This window comes from Homo sapiens, chromosome 8 (assembly GCF_000001405.40).
Source record: "Homo sapiens chromosome 8, GRCh38.p14 Primary Assembly".
Lineage (NCBI taxonomy): Eukaryota > Metazoa > Chordata > Mammalia > Primates > Hominidae > Homo > Homo sapiens.
This window is the reverse complement of record NC_000008.11, coordinates 119,735,530-119,760,594: the sequence shown is the minus strand read 5'-3', so window position 1 is coordinate 119,760,594 and position 25,065 is coordinate 119,735,530. Positions and strand designations below refer to the sequence as shown.

General features: G+C 34.6%; 1 protein-coding gene across 8 annotated transcripts in view; it reads left to right on the top strand.

Annotated features, from left to right (window-relative positions):
- Nucleotides 1-25,065, top strand: part of TAF2 (TATA-box binding protein associated factor 2) — a 102,068-nt gene that overhangs the window by 72,247 nt on the left and 4,756 nt on the right. For 5 of the 8 annotated variants that reach the window (NM_001438084.1, NM_001437338.1, XM_017013780.2 and 2 more), the window contains 6 exons: nucleotides 2,453-2,522; nucleotides 4,480-4,589; nucleotides 13,661-13,890; nucleotides 15,559-15,714; nucleotides 16,202-16,307; nucleotides 17,939-18,061. In NM_001438084.1, the coding sequence (NP_001425013.1) occupies nucleotides 2,453-2,522; nucleotides 4,480-4,589; nucleotides 13,661-13,890; nucleotides 15,559-15,714; nucleotides 16,202-16,307; nucleotides 17,939-18,061 (795 nt within the window). The remainder of the gene's footprint in view (nucleotides 1-2,452; nucleotides 2,523-4,479; nucleotides 4,590-13,660; nucleotides 13,891-15,558; nucleotides 15,715-16,201; nucleotides 16,308-17,938; nucleotides 18,062-25,065) is intronic. The other 3 variants (NM_001437339.1, NM_003184.4, XM_047422152.1) reach the window with 1 other exon arrangement.

Below are 25,065 nucleotides of genomic sequence, written 5' to 3'. Positions count from 1 at the left end.
TACTTTAGAAATACGTGCTCATATCATTTTAGAAAGAACTATTTACTTTTTAAAGCCAGTGTTGTTGGGGTTTTCGTAATATGTATAACACAGATATTTTAATTTTAAATTCTTGACTTAGTGATTTAGAAATCATCTTTGATAAATGTAGAATTCACATAAGAGTTAATAAATGAGGGAAAGGAATAAAATTATAGGTATCTTTAGCCTTTCCAAGAAGTCAGTTTTCATCCTGTAGCTTTAATTGGACGTTATTTTAGGAAATAGAATATTTTTGAGAAATTTCTAAGAAGGATTCAAGAAAACATCTCACACCTGTATAAAAATTTGTGTCTGTGAAAGTAGAGGACTAGACATAAACACAAACTTCAGGAGGGGAATTAGGCAAGGCATCATGAATATAGAAAAAACATAAGGCCAAAAAAGTCGCTAAGGGAAGAATACACATATTTTTTTTTAATTTAGGGGAGAAAGATACAGAGATGGAAATGTTAAAAAGTCGTGAAGAATAGAGCAGGTAGAAGACAAGCTGTAATCCAAGAAACAACAGAATACTCTGGGGGGGCGTAAATGAAGCAGACCTACAGTAGTTTCTGATGAAATTTTAATTTTTAAGGCTAAGGGAAAATGTGTGAGTTTCTAGGACTATCAGAACCAGATTATGGTGCAAGGCAAAAGAATAGTGTGGCCTCTGAATTCTTTAGAATATGTAGATTCAAAAGACAGTGAACAAATGGCTATGTCATTTTTAGGGAAAATTATGACCCAAGATTTTCTGCTTTGCCAAAGTTGTTGCTCATGTAGCCTTGGAGAATTAAAGCTGCATCTCTTATGTAACATTCTTAAAAACATAACTCCCAAAGATAATTTTCAGCTGACCTGGATGTGAGTCAAAATAATAACTCAAGACTGGTGAAAATGTGAAATGAAAGAACTAGTGATGAATAATTATGCCTGTCAAATACTTAAGCCTAAATATTTGTTAAACTGGTTGTAAAATGTAATGCATATTTCAAAAATAATTTTTAAAAAATATGAAAATAGAAGAAACATGGAAATATAATCTAAGTCTAAAATTCCAGATTCTAGCACTAAAATATGAGAGGAGTAAAAAACTTAAAAGTATGCTAAACTTTTATCTGACTGTGGAAGGAGAGGAAGGGCTGAGAGAAGTTCTTCAGTAGATACTGGTTCATTTTTAAGTAGGGGAAAGTATACTTACATCTTTGTAATTTTTGGTAAATTTCTGTAGAAATACTTGTTTACAGTCAGAAAATAAAGGGTAATAACAGCATAATGTGTATATTCTTATGTGTTGACCCAACTTCGAAAAGGACTGTCATTTGTGCTTCCTTTTTATTGAAGGTTAAAATATCCTTTCCTGTTAGAAATAATTATTTATAAAAACAGTGATTTTGTTGTTAAATGTATTTTTTGGCATGAAAGAAAATGTAATCCTATATCTCTCTCCATTTCTGTTTTGACAAGTTTTGAGATCCACCAAATATGTCATTGTTGCCAGTCTTCTTTCCCAAGATGTATGGATAGTTTTTAATGTCTCATAAATATGAGTAAGATTTTATAAGTTAGTACTACCTTAAATGAAATAGAATACTAATATTAGGATTTTCAAAAGAATGCTAAACTTTAATAGATGTAATTTAATTGTGACACTTCACTTTTGTCCGTGTCTAAATGTGAACTATGAATATAATTTAATTGTGACACTTCGCTTTTGTCCATGTCTAAATGTGAACTATGACTTCAGACTTCATGTTTTGTTAAACTATGAATTTAAATACTGGTACTCAAGTTAGAAAATGGAAGAAATGAAAAGTATTGCAAATAAAATTCTGAAGACACAGCTTTTCAAATTATGAAAGTAAAACTTGTTTGAAAAGGTGAATGGAAATAGCTAGTCATTTTATGTCAACTATATTCATAGCACTATTTTTGTAACTGCCTTTTATATTATGCTTGAAAAGTAAAACTGTTCTTTAGTCTTAAATGGAAGAAGCCACTTGGGCAAAAACAGTGGACTATACTATATAATATAGTTGAGATACCATTGAGTGTCAAACCTCTCCATCATTTAAGCATCTAGGAAGACAATTGTATTTAAACAGATTTTGTCCAGTTAATCATCTGTAATTTAGGGTTCTTAATTACAACTTGCTTTATGTTATGCTTGCCATTGGTTTGAACTTTAGTAAAAAAATACATTATTGATGCAACTTTATGTCTTGGCTCTAATATATAGCTTGATACTTATAAAAGTTACAAAGTGGCCATTGCATAAAAATATAAGAGCTTACCTATAACCTTCAACTCTGATTGAAAACTCAGCTAAGGCAGAGTCCTAAATATTAAATGTAAACTCCCTGCTTGTCACTCATTATTCATTATTTAATTTGTTATAATTAACAACAAATATATTTTCTTTTATTTTCAGTGGACAGAAGTTATGAAGAACTGCAATGGCTACTTAATATGATTCAGAATGACCCTGTACCCTATGTAAGGTTAGTTTATGTGCTATGATGCTATGATATTTTGTAAGTCCTATAGTGAACTGAGTAATTTCAGATTACACATAAAATGCTTGTTTATGATTTTTGAAAATATGGGAATATCTTTTGCATTTATTCATGTCCTTTTTAAATTTGATTTTCAACATAAAAGTTATTTGTTTTTTTTTTGAGATGGAGTCTCACTCTGTGGCCCAGGCTGGAGTGCAGTGGCACGATCTCGGCTCACTGCAACCTCCGCCTCCTGGGTTCAAGCGATTCTCTTGCTTCAGCCTCTCTGGTGGCTGGGATTACAGGCATGCGCCACCACACCTGGCTAATTTTTGCATTTTTAGTAGAGACGGAGTTTTGCCATGTTGGCCAGGCTGGTCTCGAACTCCTGGCCTCAAGTTATCCACCCCCTTGGGCCCTTGGGCCTCCCAAAGTGCTAGGATTATAGGTGTGAGCCACCGCACTCAGCTAAAAAAAAAAAAAAAAAAATTATTAGCAGACCTTACTTGGCATTTAGAGTAATTTAGGTGACTTGGAAAGCAGCCAGACAGAAACTTCACTTTTCTTCATCAAACAAATTAAAAGTATAACAACTTAAAATGCACTAAAGAACAAACTCACATTTTAAAATATGTTATTTACCTATAATACTGATCGGCTCTTAGAAATAGAGTATGAGGCCTGAAGGAGAGGAATTGTGTTTATATATAAAGATGAAAATATGGATATGAAATATCCATAAAGATTTATATCCCCATTTATATTACATATCTGTAAATTGCATTCTATAATTACATTTCACTTTTATTCTTATAATCCTTCCGTAGTCTTATTTTACACAGTCTTAAATTTCAAAGCACAAGAGGATGTTAGAATCTACATCTTTTAGGTTTATAGACATTAAATTGCAGCCAAAAGGGGTTAAATTACTTACACTACAACCTAGCAGTTTCACTTTTCTCCCATCTCTTTCTCAATTACAAATCCAATTTAATGTCTTACTACTGTCAGTTAAATGTAAAAATTTCCCCAGTTCACCTTCTTTAAAGTTTTGCTGACCTCCATAAGAATTACAACCCAATTTCTTTCTTCCTCACTTATATCCAAGCATTGCAGTTACTCTTAGTAATTTCTCAAACTTGGTGCTAGAGCTGGTTAAATGCTAGACTACTGCAGTAGGTTTCTTCTTACTTCTCCTTTCTTTTTTCTAGCCTCTTAATGGTGTCTTCTACTCATAGCAGTGGATGTTTTCTTTTCCAAATTTTGTTTTCATTGCGTTGCCCTGTATTTTAGAGAACTCCATAATATGTTCAGGTAGCCTCTGATATGAGATAAAAACTCCCAATAGGGGAGTTTAAATGTTACCCTCTTTTAGGATACTCTTCTCAACCTCAGCTTGTTTTAAGGAAAACTTTTTACAAACTTTATATTTAAAATACTTCTGCACATTTCCATGTTTTACAAATACAGTAATGACATATATGTTCATTTTATTATCTCAAATACAGACTTCTTGGTCTATATGTAGATTTTTTTGCTCCATGTTAAGATTTTTATACTTACTGACCAGTCATTGTAGATATATCTAAGCAGAGTGGAATGTTCATTTTAGAAAGTGGGATGGGAGAGATTGGTTAGGATTATGTGGAGTCAGGTTTTAGAAGATCTCATCACACAGTAAGGTGATTTTAGAAAGACCAAATCCACCAGAATTTTTTTTTAATTACTCTCTTACCCAAACCCCAGAGTGTTTTAGTGAAAAAACACGTAATAAATATTCAGGATATAACATCATGTCTTTGGAAATTAAACTAAATAAACACAGAGCTAGATTTAAGAGAGAAAGTGTTAAAATAGGAAGGAGGAACTACAGATAATTTTTCAGTGTTTATGTTGTCTCCTACTCATAGCATCTGTCAGTAAAAGGTCAGCAAAAATTTAATTTTTTTTAATCTTTCAGGCATAAGATTCTCAACATGTTGACTAAGAACCCACCATTTACTAAGAACATGGAGTCTCCCTTATGCAATGAAGCCCTGGTAGATCAACTTTGGAAACTTATGAATTCTGGTGAGAGAGCAGGGATTTAAATTGTTTTTATTATTACTAGAGTATTTTGATTTTACAACAGATTTTCAATTCAATAGCATTTAGAACTAAAGGTAAAAGTTGAGATTTTTTTTTTTCTTTTAAGTAGACTATCACACCTTCACAGTGGTGGCTGTGATAACATTTATTAAGGATATACTCACTTTACTCCATAGTGTGGTTGAGGAAACAAAACTCTTTATTTGTATGAAAGTGTCAAATGGTTAAGGTGCTATAAACATGAGCCTGCAAAGTATTATTATTATTTCAGAAAGTTACAAAGGAGTGAAAAGTAAGTCTCACGTCTTTCCCTGGCCATCTAGTGGCCTTTTCCAGGGGTAACCAATTTCTTGTGTATCCTTCCAGAGGCAGGTAGTGCATATAGAATAACATACAGACTGTATTTTTTCAAAATACTTATTATTATTGTTCTATACTGTGGAGATCATGATATCTCATCACAGTTTTTATTTTTTAATTTATTTTTATTTTTTTGAGATAGAGTTTCTGTCGCCCAGGTTGGAGTGCAGTGGTGTGGCCTCGGCTCACTGCAACCTCCACCTCCTAGGTTCAAGCGATTCTCCTGCCTTACCCTCCCGAGTAGCTGGGATTACAGGCATGTGCCACCATGCCCGGCTAATTTTTGTATTTTTAGTAGAGACAGAGTTTCACTATGTTGGCCAGGCTGGTCTCAAACTCCTGATCCACCCGCCTTGGCCTTCCAAAGTGGTGGGATTACAGGTGTGAAACACTGTACCCAGCCTTATCACAGTTTTAATTTATTACTTGAGTGAGGTCAAGAGGTAAGAAAACAGTGTTTAGGAGTGCTAGCTCTGGAACCATTTTGCTAAGGGTTGAATCTTAGCTCAATTATTTACTTAATGTGTGATTTGTCTGAACTGTTTTCATTTGTAAAATGTAGGTGATAATGATACCTACTACAAATAGAATTAAATGAGTGTCTGTAAAACACAGTGTCTGGCTCATATGAAATACTCAAAAATGTTATGCTAGCTTAATGATAGTTACGCTTCTCAATATTTGAGCTATTTGTATTTCTGTTTTTCCAAATTACTCATATTCTTTGCCATTTTATTTAATTGAATTATTGATTCTTTCCTATTGATTTATAAATGTGTACCTTTAAAGAAAATTTGCCTTATGTCTGTGATAGGTTGAAATTGTAATAATGGTTTAAAGATTCAGTCAGAAGCTAGGCTGAAATGTCTTTTGCTTAAAGAGAGCAAGAGTTGTTGCAGATAGATAGTGGGAGAGCAGTGGATATTTATCCATTTTTTTTTTTTTTTGAGACAGTCTTGCTCTGTCACCCAGGCTGGAGTGCAATGGCACGATCTCAGCTTACTGCAACCTCCGCCTCCCAAGTTCAGGCGATTGTGCTGCCTCAGCCTCCCATGTAGCTGGGATTACAGGCGCCTACCACCATGCCCAGCTAACTTCTGTATTTTTAGTAGAGATGGGGTTTCACCATGTTGGCCAGGCTGGTCTTGAACTCCTGACCTTGTGATCCGCCGCCTCATCTTCCCAAAATGCTGGGATTACAGGCATGAGCCACCACGCCTGGCCTATCCAAATATTTAAAAGGTTTGAGTATGTCACTTTATTTGCTCTCTATGATATTGGAAAATAAGTTGTCCTGCCTATCTCATTAGTAGCTACTTCACTGGCTCACAATTAAATACCAAATTTTAATTCTTTTATTTTATTACTTAGTTCACTAATATTGAGATGTTAAGTGGTTGTATAACTTCTGTTTTTCTGTTTCATAATAACAGTGCAATACCACCGAGTAAAGGCACCATAGTAGGTATTTATGTGAAATATAATAAAATTGAAAATAGGATGGACCTTGTCCTCAGGGTCTTTAGAAAATAACACATAAAACCAGTTTATACTAAAATATTGCTAATTTTTTTTCTAATGTTTTCTTTAATCTCTGAAAGAATGATTGCTGCTTTTTACATAATGTTTTATATTTGCTTCCTTTGGCTACCTTAAAAGATATTATTATTTCTGCTATTTAGACCCAGGGAATTAACACTTAAGTTCAGGAACTTATAAAGGTTCATTCAACAGTTCATATGTGGCACTCACTCTGCTGTATTGAATACCTTTTTAACCAGAATACATGATTCCTTGACCATGATAGGTTACAAATTTGAAGAAAGCATAGTGAAATATGAAGAATTATTTTATTATTTTCTAAAGAAGATGTTTTGGACAAAATAAATATGTGTTCAAGATTAATGAGACAATTTTTATAAAACATTTGAAGCTCATTGGAAGGTTTGATTGTACAAATTCAAGCTGTGACTGATGTTTAGTATTTAATTTTGATAGTGTGCAGTACAGTAAAGTTCTGCTTTGGTTTAAAATTCTCTGCCAGTATTTAAACCAGTGAGATCAGTGAGGCTATAGTCATAAACAGTTTATTACTTAGTTTTTCAGATTTATAAATAAATGAGAACAATATGAACAATGGGAGTGGCATGAATAATTGGGAGGGTTAAAAAAATGTTTTTATAGAACATTGGACAATAGATACCGAAGATGGACTACAGAGTATTGTCATTTCCTTTCCAAGCCTGAACCTTTGGGATAAATGAATGAATCTGATCTAAGAAATACTTTTTTTATTTGATTTAAAAAAATTTAATGGCAAAAGTAATATAATCATGTTACAGAGTTTATCTGAAAAAAACTACAAAAAGAAATATTACATAATTCTTGAGAAGAAAAATAAACTGGCTGGGCATGGTTTATTAAGATTTGGGTATATTTGGCCTTTAGGAAAAAATAATTGTGTGTGTGTTGTGTTATATAGTTATAGTTGAAAGAAAAGTTTTAAAATAGCATTTTATCATGAGAATTTTTCACACTGCTATATTATCTTCTTAATGGTTATTGTTTTAAGAAATGGTAATGAGGATTGTTTTAAGAAATGGTAATGAGGATTCATCAATAACAAAAGGAGCTAGAGCATCATTTAAGTCCCCAAATCCGCTGGAACCCTGCCTGCTCCTCATTTTGGGGCTTCTGGGCTATCTGGTCACTTGAGATAAGCGTTATCTGGAAAACAAAAACTGTGAACAACATAGATGTAATTATATTAATTTATTTCTCTCCACAAAGTGGATTTGAGGTATATTGACTTTGCATAGTTACAAAATTTACTGAACCAATTTAAAATATCTAGGTAAGAATATCATGGCAGTTCAGAAGGATCATCTTATCATGTACTTTTGAAGAATTAGAGTTTGTTTTCTTATTCTGAAGAATCAAACTTTTCAACGAGAGAGAAATTGTGGTTGGATTTATAGAAACAGGATTTGAAAAACTGAAATCAATTTGAGAGTGAGACAGAATGATACTCATGACTTTTAAAAATTCATGTGCCGTTCAGTTAATACTGGTACTCATTTTAGAAATATGCTAGGGGAATTTGGAGCTGAGAGACAGGTACAGAAACTGAGGGCTCTTGGTAGCTGAATCACTTTAGTGACCATATCCCAGAGGGAAGGTTGTCAGACAAACTTTTTGAGATCTCAGGGCTGCCTGGTCTCTGCCTGCTTCTTGGTGTGTAGTAACTCCACTTAGCCTTAAATTCTGGGAGGTACTCTAGTATCTTTCCAACAGTTTTTGCTTTGTAAATATATACACACACTGACCTATATATGTGTATATTCACTCATACACGTATCAGATATCTTAACCCATTCTATATGTAGTTTAATTTTTCATATATTTTTATCTTCAGCATTTTGTTTCTAAAATTTTTAAAGCTTAAAAATTTTAAGAATAATACAATGCATAATCATATACTTTCAGTTTGATTCACCAGTTAAAATTTTACCATTTACTTTATCTCCTTTTCCTTCTCTTTCTTTATATTATATTTATATCTGGTTGTTTTCTCAATCATTTTAAAATAAATGGGATCATTACCCTCTTTCCAAATACTTTAGTATATACTCCTGAGAATAAGGTCATTCTACATATCGACAATATGATCATTAAACCCCACCCAGTATATAGCCCATATTCACAGTTCCCCAGTTGTTTCCAAAAATGCTCTTTGCAATTCCCATGACAGCTTTTAAACTAATGCTCCACAGAAAGATAGTAAACATTTTTAAAGACAAGGACCTTTTACATTATATGGTCTTTGTCCATGGTTGCTTAAGATTCTTAAATAAATAGGTTTATTTTTAATTGAAAATATCTCATTTGCCAGGGGCAGTCGTTTTTAAAGGTTTCACATATTAATTCACTGTTTTTTTCTTGAGCACTTTCTGTTTGTTACTATGCTATGTTTTCTGTGTATTAACTAAGTATAATGGAAAGAGAGACATAGGAACAGATAAATTATAATATGAAGAGATAGTTGCTAAAGTAAAGAGAACAAACTATTTGGGGAACCCAAAGAAAGGAGTCATGAACCCTGTCTGGAATGCTAGAATGTTCATGGAGAGGTAGCATTTGAGGTAACTCTTGATGAATGTAAAGAAGTTTTCCAGCAGGATAAATACATTTTTAGGTAGTAGAATTATATATAAAAGCCTTATGTTCTGAAGGAGTGTTTAGAAAATAGTATTATCTGGAAAGATAGATTAGGATCTAAATGCGAAGGGCCTCAGGAATTTAGATTTTATGCTCTGGGCAATGAGGGACAGGTGTTGCTAGAACCAGGCTGACTTTTGTTAGCGGTGTGGTAGCTTTTTTCCACACTGAAAGAAATAATTTTCCTCTTCCAAAGGAATATGTATCAAAATTCAGAATATATGTGATCCTGCCTTTATAGCTTCAAGTAAGATACTGAATTACAGGCCAAAATGACAATAATTTTAAAATACATTAAAAAAATTAAAACCTAAGAATTGGAGATTTTTATTGGGGCTCCATATTTTATTTAAGACTTAAATACTTTTGCTTGTCTTGCCTAATAGAGTGTTTTTTTTATTTCTGAAGAAACAGATCTTCATTGAGGAGATGGTATCTTTGACTCTTTATCATTATGAAGGAAATTTTAGCTGTTGCTTCCACATTGACCTTTAGTGTCTGGCATATTACTATAAGAATGACATAAAAATATTAATTGTTCAAGTCATTGAATGCTGTTTATTTACATCATAATTTTTAATGTTTGGAAATTTACAACTACACTCAAGGGAGTAGAATGAGGGACAACTTCTAATTCAGTTTGATAGGATTTGCCAGGTTTCAGAGTAAGAAAATAAACAGTTTTGATATTAACATCAGAAGGTTTCAAAGCTCTGTCCCACCGTCTCTCTCCCTAATACCTTCTTTCTTAGGAATGGAAATGGTTGAAGAAAATGAAAACATATTGATTCATCTGCTTAGGAAATTATATATATATACACACACACACATAAATAGAAATGAGTTTGCTGTTTTTGTTTATTGTAAGATGGACAGAACAGTCAGGACAATAATACCCAGTGAGAGTTGTATTTCTGGCTTAACTGTGTACAAATTTCTAAGCTTCAGCCATCAATAAGGAGTGCTGGGTTTATTCAGAAGTGTCCTGAAAACAGTGGCTTTCAAAGTGAATTTTCTTCTTAGCAGCTTTTTTAGTTGATCAGTTTTTTTTGTTTGTGTTTGTTTTTTTGAGACGGAGTCTCACTCTGTCACCCAGGGTGGGGTGCAGTGGTGCGATCTTGGCTCACTGCAAGCTCCGCTTCCCAGGTTCATGCCATTCTCCTGCCTCAGCCTCCCGAGTAGCTGGGACTACAGGCGCCTGCCACCATGCCCGGCTAATTTTTGTATTTTTAGTAGAGACTGGGTTTCACTGTGTTAACCAGGATGGTCTCGATCTCCTGACCTTGTGATCCTCCTGCCTCGGCCTAGTTGATCAGTTTTAATAGCAGTTACCTCAGAAAATGAAGAGATGATTTTTCGGTAGGATCAGATTTACTACTTTGGTGGTGTTTGTCTCAAGGCACTTTCTGATTTGAACAGACAACATTAATACTGGGTTTCCTACTTCTTGAGTGTTGTTGTTCTAATTCAGATAAACAGGCTTGGTCTCAGAGTATAACTGCTAATGAAGACAGGATGAATAGCAATTTTCCTGGGAGGAGAGACTAGTGACTGTCATTTTGTCATGTGATCATTCGTTGCCATAAGTGATGGGGAAAGGGGAGGTAGCTGGAAGATTAAAGATGGGTCTTCAGAATACTGTAACTGAAGGCAGAAATCAGAGGCTGTTCAGGGCCTCTCTCCAATGGGATTGATTGACTTGGAATCATCAGATTTTAGACCTGATGAGGGGAGTCTTAAAGATCATCTGAGTGAACTACTCTGATCATCTCAGTTATAGCCCAGACAGCTGACTTGCCCAAGGTCACAGAGCTAACAGGCAATTAATTAGAAGTGTTTTTTTCCCATTCTGTCTCTCAACTTAAGTGAAATATACTAATGTACTAACGTGACAACCATCTTAAGATTTTATTCCATGATTTTGAAATACAATGAAATTTTGGCTTTTATCTCTATTTTTTGCTCTCTTTTGTACTTTTAACAAAAGTACTGTTATTCATTTTTTAGCTCCCTTGTCTCCAATTTTAATATGTAAGTTCATTTTTAGAAGACAGAAAACACTATCAAGAACCTCCCTTAGGAACAAAACAGTGGTGTTCATTCCTTTGTCCAAATTAAAGGTCTAGCAAAACCAAAAAGCCCACATAGAAATAAAAAGTAACCAAAATCATATTCGAGGGCTTCAGTGCACTTAGCAGCCTTTACTGTGCTGCCTAATCATCCTTAAGCTGACGTTCAAAAACAAAATAAAAGCCCTAGCTCATCAAAATACACATACTCAATTTGTCTTTTAAAATTAACATATATTTTTTAAATGTTAAGGGATTCACAATTGAATGACTCATTTTGAGATCATCGACAGCATACAAAAGTTCAGGCTGGTTTTTGTAGCACACATAATCATGGCGACATTGATCTTCAGGGTTTAGTTTTCTTCCAAACAGCAAATGTACTCTAAACTGTTCTGTTCTGTTTTTTGTTTTTTTTTTTTTAACTGATAAAATGCCTAAGATTCACTCCTTTTCTTGCTATACCCATGGATAGAGAGATACAGGGCCAGCTGCTCTGGGTTGCCAGACTTTTTATTGCTCACTCCTGGCATTTCTTCCCTTCCCTCAGAGGGTTGAGACCCTCTAGCCTTTGCTAATAGAAGCCCCAGGAATCTGATAACCTCCTCTTTGTGGAACTTTTCTATATGTAAAATGCTTTGAGGAGGAGAAATGAATGCCTACAAAATAATACTACCTCAAGCTATTGAAGTGTCCACATATGCATATTCCAGGAAGGGAAAATGGGTTTCCAGTGTAAAATTCTTGCTTTTACTATGTAATGTTTTTTCCATTACTTGGTTGTCTGTAGCTCTTGCCTGTCTCTTGCTTCTACCAGTGTTGTATGTCACACAGCAGCAAAACTGAAAATGTCTGAAGTAGGAATGATGAGAGCTCTTTCACAACATTATAGCATGCACAGTGGCCTAGTACAATGCACTATCTAGTATGAAAGTGAGTTTACAATTTTTCCCATTGCAGATTTGCGTATAATTAATAGTTACCTGTTAGAGTAAATCTGATAAGAATTACTATTAGTTGATAATTTATTTACTTATATTAATATTTGTTGTGGAAAACCACAAAGTTTAATATTTATGATATCCAAATTTTTTCCTTTTTGTTTCTCCTTTTTAAATGTGGTACTCTTTTGAAACAACAGTTCTTGGTAAAAATTAGGTATTTAAGGGCCTTCCCTCCCCCTTCCCTCCCTCCCTTCCTTCCTTTCTTTATTTTTTGAGACAAGGCCTCACTCTGTTGCCCAGGTTCGAGTGCAGTGGTGCAATCTTGGCTCACTGCAGCCTCTGCCTCCTGGGTTTAAGCGATTCTCCTGCCTCACCCAGCCAAGTAGCTGGGATTACAGTCATGCACCACCACACCCAGCTAATTTTTGTATTTTTAGTAGAGAGTGGGCTTCGCCATGTTACCCAGGCTTGTTTTGAACTTCTGAGCTCAAGCGATCTGCCCACCCCGGCCTCCCAGAGTGCTGGGATTACAGGCATGAGCCACCATGCCTAGCCGGGGTTTTTTTTCTTCTCAAGAAGAATATCCACTTTTCTTCTGTTCATTTGTTCTATACTCTTCAAGTCATTTAAAATTCTGACTAGAAACCATATAGATTGTGTAACCCTAGCTGACAAATTTCATCTTTTTAGTCAGTTCTATTTGATGACAATATCTACTGGAGTGTTGTACTGGGGAGAAAAGGAAGGCGGGAAAACCCTGGTATCAATGTGCTCTGATCTGTCATTGCTGTGGGGTACGGTATGACTTGAGACCAAAACTCCTATTTTGGAGAAGAAAAAACTGAGACTCAGAGAAATGGAAAGAACTTGCCTCTAGTGTGTCAACCAGGAGAAACTGAACTTCTACCCAGGCAGTTATTTTCTGGTCAAGTCCACGTCTACTGCCCATTGTCATGCTTGTGGTTTGCTTATTTCTGTTATTTAAAAATCATAAATAAGTTCTCACTGCAGTAACACAAATACAAAGGTGTTTAGCAAAATATTTTCCTCCTTTACAATAAGTCCAATAGTAGTTGTATGGTTTCTTACTATATGTAAAACCTGAAAGTAGTAAGTTCTAGAGATCAGAAAATGTGTTTCCATGATAGGGAATGCAAAGGCTCATGGAGGCTGTCTTCCTAACAGGCTGTTAATGAAGAGAATCAGACACGATGAACAGAGAATGAATGAATGTGGGATAATTACTGAGGAGAAAGAATAAAAAGGAAGAATTAAGGCTATAAAAATACAGTTTTTGGAATGTTAGATTTTTGGTTGATGTCTAGTATTCATTTTGTAAGATGAAAGGTGTGATAAAGGTTTTTCCAGTTATAAAGTTCCTTTTGTTGTTCAGGTTCTGGGACAGTTAAAATGTATGAATCAATGTGCATATTGACTCATTTCTTTATTACTTACTTTTTAGGTACTTCACATGACTGGAGGTTACGGTGTGGTGCTGTGGACTTGTACTTCACACTTTTTGGCCTCAGTAGACCTTCCTGTTTACCCTTGCCAGAGCTTGGGTTGGTTCTTAATCTAAAGGAGAAAAAAGCTGTCTTGAATCCTACCATAATTCCAGAGTCAGTAGCAGGCAACCAAGAAGCTGCAAATAATCCAAGCAGTCACCCACAGCTAGTTGGATTTCAGAACCCTGTAAGAATCACATGTATTACAGAAGACGTAGTTTCATTATATAGAGGATCTAGAGAAGAGAATTGTTTCCTGTGAACTAGTGAATTTTATAGCCACTAACACAGTTTCTTGTGTCCTTTTAAAAAATGCTGGCTGACATTTGATTAGTACTGTGCCAATTATAAAATGCTACTGGCAACTATAAAACTGCACATAACGAATGATGTGCTCCCGGTCCTGTTACTCGTATTGTGATAACCTAGTTATTTTTTTTATACTTGAGCATAGAATTTCTTCTCTGAGTAGCAAAAGATAGAAACGAATAACCTTTTTTTTTTTTTTTTTTTTTTTTGAGACAGAGTTCCACTCTTGTTCCCCAGGCTGGAGTGCAATGACTCACTCTCAGCTCACTGCAACCTCTGCCTCCCAGGTTCAAGCAATTCTCCTGCCTTAGCCTCCTGAGTAGCTGGGATTACAGGTGACTGCCACCATGCCTGGCTAATTTTTTGTATTTTTAGTAGAAACGGAATTTCACCATGTTGGCCAGGCTGGTCTCAAACACCTGACCTCAGGTGATCCACCCACCGTGGCCTCCCAAAGTGCTAGGATTACAGGCGTGAGCCACCACACCCAGCTGAATATTTAACCTATTACATATTAACCCATCTTGTCCCATATGTGTTAATGGTAAGCCACGTGAAAACAGGGGCCTTGTCTTTTTAAAATTGTTGCTCTGTGTAATACCTAGCACAGTTCTAAACATATGATAAATGCCTGGCAAATGCTTGTTGAATGAAATAAATAATGAATGAATGAATGACTAGGTAAATTAATAATCTGCTGATTTGGGAGGAGACTGTGTGTTACATTTTAAAACATTTTATATCACACACACACACACACACACACACACACACACACACACACACATTCGTTTGCCTTTAGAGAAGCTTTTATTTCTACCTTTGTATTATAAAATTACCAGACATTTTGTAGAAAGACTTATAGGATACATATTAATCATTTTACTGTAATTTAAATAAATTTTTCCTGAAATGTTTTTTTATTGATGACAAAATGTCTCCAATACTTCAAGCTTCATTTTTCACCAATATTTAGACCAGATTACTTGCCTGGCAATTCCCTACTGGTGTTTTGACACTTTAAAATGCAGATTCTCTCTATGCTAGTTAGTAATAGTTCATTTTAAATTTGCTTATTCACCTAAATTTTCTGAAGTATCATCATACTTATTTGTTGTCAATTTAAAATATGTCCTAGAGTTTGGGTTATGAAGAAGTAAGACAGACATTTACATAGAAAAAAAAGAGTCTCATTAAAGAGCTCTTTCAGATCTACATACTCATCAACCTGTGAAAATTGATATATTTATAATTCTTGCTCATATATGTTAATTTATCCACATTCACACTGCAGGCTAAGAGGAGAAAATGGCATCAAAGGACATGTTCTTTTGGGAAACCTCTAAAAGTTCACTTAAATACCTCCCTTCTCCCCCCAAAAAGACCAGCAGACAAGAAAAGATTACATTTATTTTAAGCCCATTGCTGATAATTTCTAGCACTGGGCATGCTCTAATCTGCATGGTTGCTATAGCTATTAGTTTTCAGCTATAATATGAGCTACTCGTCTTCAGAAATCTAATTTTGATCTTGAATATTGCCGCAGGAAGATGATCACCTTGCCAAGGAAGCATCATGTAATATATCAGCTCATCAGCAGGGAGTGAAGAGGAAGTCTGATACACCACTGGGGTCCCCACTAGAACCTGGTCAAATACTGGAGAAGAATGAGGATAGCAGTAAAGTCAAACTCAAAATCAGAGTAAGAAATACAGGTTAAACCTGTATTAACAGTGTAGGATATTCACCTTCTTGTAAATCTTTTTGAATACTTGCAGTGGTTTTTCCTTAGCAGGAACACACGCAACAGACTGCATTATAAAACTCAAAGGTCCTTCTGAGACATTCGAACCAAGTATTTAACTTATATTATCACATAATTCTTCTCTGTTTGGGGGAGGAACTATGTGTGCACGTTCCACCACAACTCACTACTTTTTCTCACAAAATAGGAGTAGATTTTAGTTGCTATTACATTTCCAGTAATTTCTAATTGGCTTCTTTTAGAGGCTGGACCACATAATCTTTTCTTTCTCTTAATATCTTTGAAGAAAGAAACTACTTTTTATTTTAAGATTATATGGGGGTATATCCTATGGCCTCTCTGCTACTTTTCCTAAGAGCTAATATCCAAACATAACATGATGTAATGGTTCTTTTATCCTCTGTTTTATGTGTGTGTGTTTTAGTTTTCCAGTTCTCAAGATGAGGAGGAGATTGATATGGATACTGTTCATGATAGCCAGGCCTTCATTTCCCATCATTTAAACATGCTTGAAAGGCCGTCAACTCCAGGTAAGATTAGTATTCTGCAATCATTGAGGAGATGGAGACATTGGTTGATGTCAGTATTCTAATGTGTGTTACTTTATTTTCAAATGAACAACTATACAGTTTAAAATTAGCCAGCTTAAAATATTAAATTGTAGCAGATTATAACATAAATTGGCAAAATAACAAATAGAAAAAGTGCTTCTTTTGGCTTTTTTATTTTGGTCCTTTTTAAGTATTTGCTTGTATAAAATCCATCATTCAGATTCTTTCTAGTAGCTCTGATTTCTCTTTTGTGTGTGTATGTGGTAGACTTGACTTCATGTAACCATAGTTACATTAATTTTTTTAACTGCAGTTAAAGCTGCTTGTAGCACCACTTTCTCTTTTTGCCTGCCTATCTCATATAATATTATGTCAGTCATTTTCCTACATCATTCAAAAAGCATGTTTTCTTTTGAAAATACTACCTAAGACAACATAGAGTCAATATATTAAGATTTACCTTGTCATTTCCTTATTGATAGGCATTAGGTTGTTTTTCATTTTTATGTATTGTAGGTAATTCTGCACTTTATTTTTTTGTTAATTTATGTTTCTTGGATAAATTTCCCGAAATGTATTATTAGTGAAAAGATTAATGTTAGCTATATTGTGAGATACATGTCTTTAGATTTTCATAGCTCTTGATATGTATTGCCATGTTTTTTGAGAGATTATACCAGTTTATATCATAAGCTTTTTCTAATTTTTAAGGAATAAAAGCCTTTGATAAAAGTTGTGACATATAGTAATAAAGCAAGTATCTGTGTACCTGCCACCAAAGTTAACATGTACATTATATATCATGCACAGATGTTTCGTATATGCTTTTTCCCTGGTCCTGTTCTACTGCCTTTCCACTACAAGTAACTACTATATTGCATTTTCTTTTTTTTTTTTAATTTCATTCTGTTGCTTTTCTTTATAGTGTTCCACATAGGTATGTGATCCTGTATATTTAGTTGCACTTCTTTTTTGAATTTTTTAAGAAATGGTATAACATGACTTGCTTTTTTTCACTTAGCGTTATGTTTCTAAAATTCTTATTGGTATATAAGTTGTAATTCATTAATTTTCATTTATGACCATTATCTGTCATAGCACTTGTCATCAGTGTAATAATTCAGAACTTTTAGAGTAACTGTAAAATAACTCAGGTTTACTGTTTTTGTTTTTTGGGGTTTTTTTAAATTTTTTTTTTAAGATGGAGTCTCACTCTGTTTCCCAGGCTGGAGTGCGGTAGTGCCATCTCTGCTAACTGCAGCCTTTGCCTCCCGGGTTCAAGTGACTCTCTTGCCTCAGCCTCCCAAGTAGCTGGGACTACAGGCGCGCACCACCATGCCCGGCTAATTTTTGTATTTTTAGTAGAGACGGGGTCTAGGCTGGTCTTGAACTCCTGGCATCAAGCGATCCTCCCTCCTCAGCCTCCCAAAGCATTGGGATTAAAGATGTGAGCCACTCCACCCAGCTAGTATTCTTTCAATTGTTAGAATTTTACTGTGGATGAATTGCTTCTGTCTTTAAGGCTAGCTTATAAAAACCTGTCAGCCTTTTTTTTTCTTTTGGGAAACAAAGAAATAAATCCCTCTTTTTTCTCTTGTTTGGCATTTTAGGGCTCTCGAAATATCGGCCAGCTAGCTCCCGATCTGCTTTAATACCCCAGCACTCAGCAGGCTGTGACAGCACACCCACCACAAAACCCCAGTGGAGTTTGGAACTTGCACGGAAGGGAACAGGTAAAAATAATTAATCAGAATTAATATTATTTTGTTCAAGAACAAATCTATAAATGTAATAGAGTTACTTCATCAACTTTAAAAAACCCTTTAAAAATACAGATCTTAGGACTTGGCTTTTCTTGTAATACATTGAGCTTATATTGTCTAACTTTAAAGACTATTTTAAAATAGACTTCTTTTTCAAAAGTAATGTATTCCTATTATAGAAAACTTGGAAATAAAAGAAAATTAGGTGAGAAAAAAATTATCCCCCATATGCCATTGAAAGATAATTTAAAAGATAATGCCATTTAATTATAATGAACATTTTGCTCTTTCTTTGCCATGCTTTTTCTAAGAATATTATGACAAATGCCAACTTCAATAGAAACCATCTAATTTGTACCTTTATAAAAAAGATATAAACGCATAAAATAAAAAATCAACCACTTATCCCCCACTCGTGTATATAATTGGTGATTCACTCCTGAAGACTTGATGCTATATTCTCTTATATCATTTCACAGTAATTGGGCTTAAGTTTGTGAAAAGTAATTTAATTCAGATGTGTTTGTTACCTATTCTGTTTCACATTGTTTTCTGCTTATTCTGTTTCATCACTTACAAAGAGAGGATTATAATCCAAATGAAGTGCAAACATTTGATGCTGATGAACTACCGTGAAACAAAGATTCAGTCCTCAAATTCTCAAGGAACAGGGAGTGAAAAAACAAGATACATAAACAAAATCATTTTTAAAGAATAGTTTTTCCAGAAGTAGACAGACTTTACAGTCTGTGAACTTCTGATTATATTCCAGTTGATGGACTTTGCTTATATAAATTATGTTTTTATCTGATATTTTAAAGAGTGCTGTTTATTGCTTTGAGAAGCTTATAAATTAACTGTTATTAACAGGGGACTTCAAACAAAAGCAGCACATTAAACTGTTTTGATGTTGAGACCCCAGACTGTTGATTGCTTACCGTTGTGTGTTCTGTGCATTTATTGGAATAGATTCACCTAAAATATGTTTCAGAAAGAAATCAGTTGGGGACTTATTGCACTTAATGAGTGAGTTTTGATATTTCTTGGCCCTTCCTGATTTTTTGTATTCTTTTGGTTTTGGTGTAATTTTGAAATTTTACTAGATGTAAATAATTTTCTACATTTTTAAAAATTATAAAGCTTAGAGAATTTCAAACTCCTTCATACAGTTTGAGGATGATGCTTCTGCTTACCTTTAAAAAAAAATTCTCTCTAAATTTCCGAGAGTCTAATCAATTACTGTTCCAAAAAGAGTCAGAATACATTTGGTTTTTCTTAGCGGTGTGGCACATTAACCTATGTAGAAGCAAATCTGAACACTTTTTTTTGTGCCCACCAGTGTGCCTTTTTATCATTGATCCTTATTGCTTTTAAAAATACATTTTCACTTTTTTTCAGTTCTTTCTTTATAGGCTTTTAGTTCTCATGGCATCATATGGGAAGACTGGGGAGAAAGAAACACAGCCCTAATGGTGGGGAATAGGAATGCATTAACATTTGAGTTTTGGCTGCTATTAGTGTCGGGTCCTTTCTTGGCATGAGGCAAAAATGTATACCAGTTAGATGGACTGATCTAGTAATCTTAACTTTGAATATATTCTTTAATGTGACTGTAATTTCCTTTAAATGTGTTTTTGCTGTTCAGTACTCTGAGGTCACTGAGCAAGTCTTAAAATTCAACAGTGATATTACAAGAATGTAGAAAACCTTCATTTTACAAATAATAGTGTTTTGAAGGTTTATTTATAAATATATTTATTTTGGAATTTTGAATGCAGTTTTTCTATAGGTAGTTTCTTCTTCTTCTTCTTTTCTTTTCTTTTCTTTTTTTTTTTTTTTTTGAGACAGTCTCACTCTGTCATCCAGGCTGGAGTGCAGTGATGCGATCTTGGCTCACTGCAACCTCCACCTCCTGGGTTCAAGTGATTCTCGTACCTCAGCTTCCTAAGTAGCTGGGATTACAGGCATGCATCACCACACCCGGCTAATTTTTTTTTTTTTTTTTTTTTTTTAGTAGAGACAGGATTTCACCATATTGGCCAGGCTCATCTCAAACTCCTGGCCTCAAGTGATCACCAGCCTCAGCCTCCCAAAGTGCTAGGATCACAGGCGTGAGCCACCAGGCCTGGCGACATTGTTTTATTTGTTAAGTAACTTTTCCAAACTAGCCAACAAAAGCTTTACAACTCCTACCATACATCAGGAATACAAATATCAAACCTAGCCCTTGTGTGTATCAACGTTTCTGTGAGAAGATTCACTCAGAGCTCCAACTTTTGGCATGTGGGAAGCATAACTTTAGCCTAACCCAAGTCAAGTCAAATTGGCAGTGAAAAAGGAATTTCTTGTCTTCCTGCCTCCCAGCAGAAGCTGAAGATCTCTTACCATGGCAGCCACCTTTCTTGGGGTTGAGAGTTGCGGGTTTAGGAGGGAGACAGCACTGGTGAGGGAAGCTGTGACCTCTCTTCAGTCTCTAGGGATTCTAGATTAGAGATCACAAATGAGGTTTTTTGGCCTATATCCAGTTCATCAAGCTGAGGCATCTTCTTATAAGTCTCACAAAAGTTTTTGAAGTAGATAACTAAAAATGAAGAGGTTACACATAAAAATATGGATTTCCTTTTACTCTGATAGAGACATTCAGGAAACAAAGAAAAAAAGCAATTCTGGATTTCTAGCTTTTCTTGAAAAAGTGTGAGAGGCTTTTTAGTAAGGCGTGTGATCTCTTATGCCGCACCCAGTAGTCTGTTTACTCATTTATGCTGTTCCTCAGGACAAGGCTTTTGAGTTTCTGGCCTCTGCTTTTTATTTTATTTTATTCATGAGCTGAGATGAAGTCCTAGATGGCCCCCTTAGAGCCAAGGAGCCCGATGATAATTGAGAACTGGAATGTGTTACAGACCTTGTCTAGGAGGGATAGAAAAAGAATATGGGTTTAAAGAAGAGATGGAAACTGTTAAGTAGAGGACACATTATGGTTTACTTTTTAACCTTGCTTCCCCAGTTTTCCCTTTCCTTGCATTTGATAGTAGAATATTTTAGGGCAGGATCATATGTGGGTGTTAGATTAAGCCATTGGGATGAGAAGGGAGAAATGGCAAGAGTATTTTCCTTCATTACTTTATTATTTATTTTCCTTTTCCTGAGGTAAGGAAGGGGATATAAAGAAATGGCCTTTATGGTTCCCACGGTGATAGGGATGAACATACAATATTCTCTCCCTTCTCACCACAGCAGCTCCCTGTCTGTTACTGCAGAGCTTGAGGTGACTGGACTGTCTCCCAGGTTACTGTAGGGATTGCAGTGCTGGAGAAGAGAGGCCGGGCAAGGGGAACAAGGAGCAAGGGAATTCCCTAGTGGTTTTTGTGGGAAAGAAGCGGAGAGTTTCTGCAGCTGCCTAGCTAGGGCTGCAGTATTATGTAATGCCTTCTTGCATAAGTCAGAAAAACACAATTCTGGTAAATTTTTTAATTTAAAAAAAAAAAAAAAAAAACTTCTTTAAAGCTTGAGAGCTTGCCCTAGAGGTCTTTCTTTTGAAACCAGTACAAAAAACAGACTTTGATTTTTTTATCCTTAAATTATAATGATATAATTCTACTTTTTTTTTACAGTGATCTAAACAATCTGAAGAACAGAACTTACACCTTTCCTAATAAAAACTGCAGGTTTTGTGTTAAATTTAAACATATACCTAAGGTGAATGAATTTAGTAGAATTAGCAGGTTATTCACAGTTTCTTATCAGCACTTTCATCACATGGGCTGAAATCCTTCCACATTAGACTTACATTAAGTACCTCTTTCTATTTGTTTTACATTTGTTAACTTGACTGCAGGTAACCCTTATCCATGGTGCATTTTGTTTGGTCTCCAGGAAAGAGTTTACATTGAGTAGAACAATACAACTCTGAACATCTCTTTTGTTCTTTCCATATAACATGAAATAGGAAAATTTTTTTATTGTGAATTAAATGTATCTCCTTTCTCTGATATATTTGCTGTTTAGAAGAGTGACATGTATTTCAGTTTACTAAAAGGACTTTTATTAGCCTAAAGATGAGTGGTGCCTGTGAATGGACAATTTAGCAGACGTCTTGTAAATCCCTGAAAGGATATGTGAAATTATCTGTGTAAATGTTTGTATCAAGGGATGGTAATATATGTATTGTCTTGATAGAGTTCTATAGATGACCTCATTATGCTCCTATGAAAGTAAACTTGTGTGTCCCAAATCTGATTATAAGGAAATTATGCTTTCTTACCACGTTAGATTAGAGCTGGTAAACATTATTTAGGAGAGATAGATAATAAGCAAAACATACATACGTACATATATAGAGAGAGAAAAAGAATATATAAACATATATTCTCTAGAGAGAATAAATAAAACATACTATATATATACAACTGTATATATATAGTATACTTATATTCAATTATAGTATATAGTATGCAATTATAGTTTATAGTATAAGTGAAAACTTAAGAGCTAAAGGTTGTTGGTGATGATAGGGTAGCATAGATGATTTGTTCTCCTGTTACTGCCAATTAACATATTTGTGTATGTGTCTTTTCACATATGCATGAGCATATTAATGGGATTAAATTCTTGGAAAACTTTCTAAAGGAATATAGGCATGTAACACTTTCATGGTATTGCCAGATTGCTTTAATTTCTCCTTTAAAAAAAAGCTTTAGGCCAGGCACGGTGGCTCACGCCTGTAATCCTAGCACTTTGGGAGGCCAAGGTGGGGGATCATTTGAGGTCAGGAGTTCAAGACCAGCCTGGCCAACATGGTGAAATCCTGCTTCTACTAAAAATACAAAAATTAGCTGGGCATGGTGGTACGCACCTGTAATCCTAGCTACTCGGGAGGCTGAGGCAGGAGATTCGCTTGAACCTGGGAAGCAGAGGTTGTAGTAAGCCAAAATCATGCCACTGTACTCCAGCCTGGGCGACAGAGTGAGACTCTGTCTCAAAAAAAAAAAAAAAGAAAAAGAAAAAGATGAAAGCTTTATTATAGAGAACTGTAAAGTAGTCAGACAAGTATAATGAGGCCCCTGTATCTGTTACTCAGCTTCAATAATAATTGGTTCATGGTCAGTCTTATTTAATCTTACCCATTTCTACCCTTCTGAATTATTTTGAAGTGAATCCCAAATATAATATAATTTTATTCATAAATTATTTAGTATGTATCTGTAAAAGGTAGCACATTAAAAAGTCATAACCACAGTAATGTTATACCTAAAAAACTTACTAATTCTTTTATGTCATTAAATATCCAGTCACTGTTTAAGTTTCAGTTGACTCTAAATGCCGTTATTTATTTTTATTTTTAACAATTTATTTGTTTAAATCAGTGTCCACGTAGGGTCCACATTGCAGTTGGCTGATATAGCCTTTGTATCTTTTTGAATCTAACATTTCCAGTTCATACCTCTTTTCTTCTCCCTTACAATGTATTTGTTAAAGAAGCCAGGTTTTTGTTCTGTACTTTTCATTCTAGTGTTTCCAACTCATACCTCTTTTCTTTTCCTCTTTTACATTTGTTAAAGAAACTAGGTTTTGTTCTGTGCTTTTCAAGTCTGTATTTTATTAATTTTATACCCATGATGTAATTAACATGTTAAGTTCTCTAGTTTCTGTAAATTTGTAGTTGTATCTAGAATTCTAATTGGATTCAGGTTTACAGAGGGTGTGTGTTCTTTAGTCTGGAAGCATACAATGTCTGGTCGACTCTTTTTGAGGTTAACCACTATAGATGTTCAAACTAGATTCCTTAATTCATTAAGTTGCAAGATAGTGATATTTCAATTTATACTTTCATTTTTATTTGTAAGCTGGATTACTTCTATAAAGCTAAATTTCTCTTCATTTACTATTACCCAGTGGTATAAGTCTATAGGAAAACAAAGATAAATGCTTAATTTTTCTATGTATTTAATAATTTTCAAAGTAATGAGTTGTTGACTAGCAATCTCCAATGGTGAGCAGTCATTTTCAGTCTATCACAATTATTGTCCTTATCAGTATTCAATTTGTTCCATCTTTGGACTGAGTTCATTTGACAAGATTTTAACTTCCTTGCAGTTAGACCCTGTGTTTCAAGCTCATCTTGTAAATATTCTGTCATAGACCTGGAATTAGCCATTTGTCCTAGGAGCCCTGGTTTCTAACTCCTTTGTCCTTGGTGCTAACTAATCCATTGTCTTCTTAGTAGACTTCATGTACCTCAAGAGAAATGCAAGATTTATTACCAATATTTCTTTAATGCAAAGTGTAAGGCTACTGTCTAGACAAAAAATTGGATTCACTTTTGAAGTGGTTGTAAGTATTCTTTTAAAAGATTACACCTACAAATGCTCAGTTGCCCATTAGGCAGTTGCCTGTGCTGAGAAGTACAGGTTCCAACATAATGACTGGCTTTCTGCAATCCAAGTAGTTTGGTAGGTGTTTAGGATTAAAGGATAAAACTTCTTTCTCCTCTGAAATGCAGAAGAGAACCTCAAGCTCCCAAGAGTGCAGACAGCCAACAAGAAAGCTGCAAAGTCTGTTGATATAGAATGATTAAATAATGAGATGGAAGCTAAAAGAATTTGTTCATGAGACTTTAAAGCTTCTTATTACTTCTTATCACCCGCCTGTGTATTCTGTTAGGTATTGGCCTATTCCCATATTCATAGAATCAGGAACATATTCAAGCAATTTATGTATTAAAATCTGAATTAAAATATGGTAGCATATATGGCTGAAACTAAATCAGATAATCTCAATATTTTTGTCCTTTTAAAGAATATCTGGGTACCAGTTATTACAGAAGATACAGTTCTCCAAACTTGTCTGTATATATAAATAATATGTTTAGCTTTTACTTGAGTATTAGTGTTGGCTTTATTACAAAGTTTATGAATATAAGAAATAGAATTTTGGGATACTAAAATGTGAATAATAAGTGAGCACAGAAACTTTGA